This window comes from Homo sapiens, chromosome 2 (genome assembly GCF_000001405.40).
Source record: "Homo sapiens chromosome 2, GRCh38.p14 Primary Assembly".
NCBI classification, from domain to species: Eukaryota; Metazoa; Chordata; class Mammalia; order Primates; family Hominidae; genus Homo; species Homo sapiens.
The window spans coordinates 223,584,483-223,586,862 of NC_000002.12; positions in this window are offsets into that span (position 1 = coordinate 223,584,483).

Below are 2,380 nucleotides of genomic sequence, written 5' to 3' on the forward strand. Positions count from 1 at the left end.
AAGAAAGGTGGAATGAGATGCTGAGCATGCCAAAACAAAACAAAAAGTTACTTAGTTCTTCACTACATGTTGCATGTTCTCAAAGAGCTCAATGTTTTATCCTAGAGTTACATATACACAGACAATTGCAATAGAATATGGTAAGTGCAGTTGGAGTAGTTACTGTAAAGAAGGAAAAGATTTCATTGTTTCTTTTTTTTTTCTATTAACTAGGCTGTAAAAGGCAGGGTGTTTGGAACAGGAAGCAATGTGGGAAAAGAGTTCACAAGTCATATCTTAAAAATGAACAAAAAAGCTTGGCAGAAAAATAAGAGTGGAGGATCATGCAGGTGGAAGGAATGAAATATGCCAAGTCATTGAGGCACAAAACATCCTGGTAGAACATGCTTCCTCCCCTGAGTTCCCCAATTGGAGCATCTCCTTGGAGATACATCAAGTTTCAGAATGGACTAGACCCTACACATCTCTAATCCTAATGCAGCCCAGTCCCAAGATGCTCCAAGTCATAGCAAATAAGAATAAACTGTGCACTTATGAAATCAGGCTGACCTATTGGCTTAGCTATTTTTCTTTAATTTTGTGGTTATAGCTGCATCCACAGAAAAGGTTAGGATTTCAATTGGGTAAAGGAGAGATAATAACTCTATATGGGAGAAAACAGGGAGGGTATATTAGACGGTATTAGCAATTATTAAACTTAGGACTTTAAATAGCGAGGCTAAATGATCATATATATTTACATAGGTGTATAAGTAATATTAATACATGTGGAGTACTTCATATGACTTTGTTATATCAAAAATGCCTTTTAGTATACATATATTATGCACATGTGCATAATATATATTTATAATATCTTCACATATTATGTATCATATATTATGTATATGTGATATTTACGTATATATTACCTTATATTAGGAAGGCATTTTTCACATAATGAATAGATGCAAAAGTGAACATTTCATACTGAATTCTGTGTTCCAAGGGTTCTAGTTATAACACAGTTTCAGTGTGTCTGAACATACACATTTAAAAAAATTAAACCGTTAGCTTCTCTCTGACTGGAAATGAATAGAAACCTAGAACACGTAATTAGAAGCCCTTCTTGTTCATTTTTTGTTGCATGTAGCTTTTCTTTAATAATATGAGTCTTACTGGGATCAAGTCTTAAACTCAGTAAATAAAAAGCACAGATCACAGCTTACTGCACTTGGCACCCTGGAAAAGCTGCTAAATTATTAAAGAGGCTCAGGCTGTCATTGCCACCTTGTTATTTTTATTTTCTTAAAGATGCAGGGAGCCTGCAGTTTAAAGCACAAAATTGCTCTCACCACTGCCATGAATTTTGAAGCGCCTCCTGCACTGCACTGATGTCACATTGTAGAACGAATGGTTCAATGTTGTAACCCTGAGTCGCCTGCTACCATAGCAACCTGTTGGTTCAGAATGAATTGAATTATGAGATTATCACTAAAGAGGTAGGGTGGGGCTTCTGTTTTATTTACTTTTTCATCAGTTCACTGTGCAATGCCTACGAATGGGAAGAACAGAAAGCAATGATTTTTTTGTTTCTTTCAAAATATATGTTGTATTTTAAAACTATCAGGATTATTAAATATCCATGTTAAATGTATAGGGGTTAGTTTATCACCGTATCAGCTAAGGGCAGTAGAGAACAAATAAAAAAAAATCTTCATTATCTCATTGCAAATTCATTTCTTTTTAAAAATAATGGAATTTGGGCAGTAGGTAGATAGGAAAATCATATCAAAATGAAACTTGATCTCATCTGTTTCCCCTGTCCATATGGGATAATTTTAGCATAAATTGGGATTTTTAAACTTAAAATAAACCTGAAGTGTTGGTTCATACCACCCACGGGCTTCTAAACATTCCAATTCCCGTGAAATGGCCCCAGTTAAATTGTATCCCATGACAGATGGAATCAGAACTTGTTGCTTCATTACAAACCACTTTCCCAAAATAGCTGCAGCATGAGAAATAATCCTGTTTGTAAATGGAACAAAAGTGCTTTCACAATGTGGTCTATTTATGGGGAAACCATTATATGCATGCCTTATAGCTCTCTCCCTATTTAATGCCTAATATTAAGATTTACATAGTGCAAATGATTAGCAGTAGTTGTTGGCTAATTGATTGGACAAATTTACCTTATATTTGACAACACTTTGTTCCAGGGACTGTAAAGCCACTTCACACACATTGTCAATAAATCCTTACAACAGCCCTGAAAGGTAAATATAATTCTCACCTTAGACCCAGCTAGATCCCATGCCTGTCAGGTAAATAGGAAAACCAGGATTTTACTCTTGCACTTTTTTATTATCCCCAAAATATATTCTTTAAAAGCTCCAAT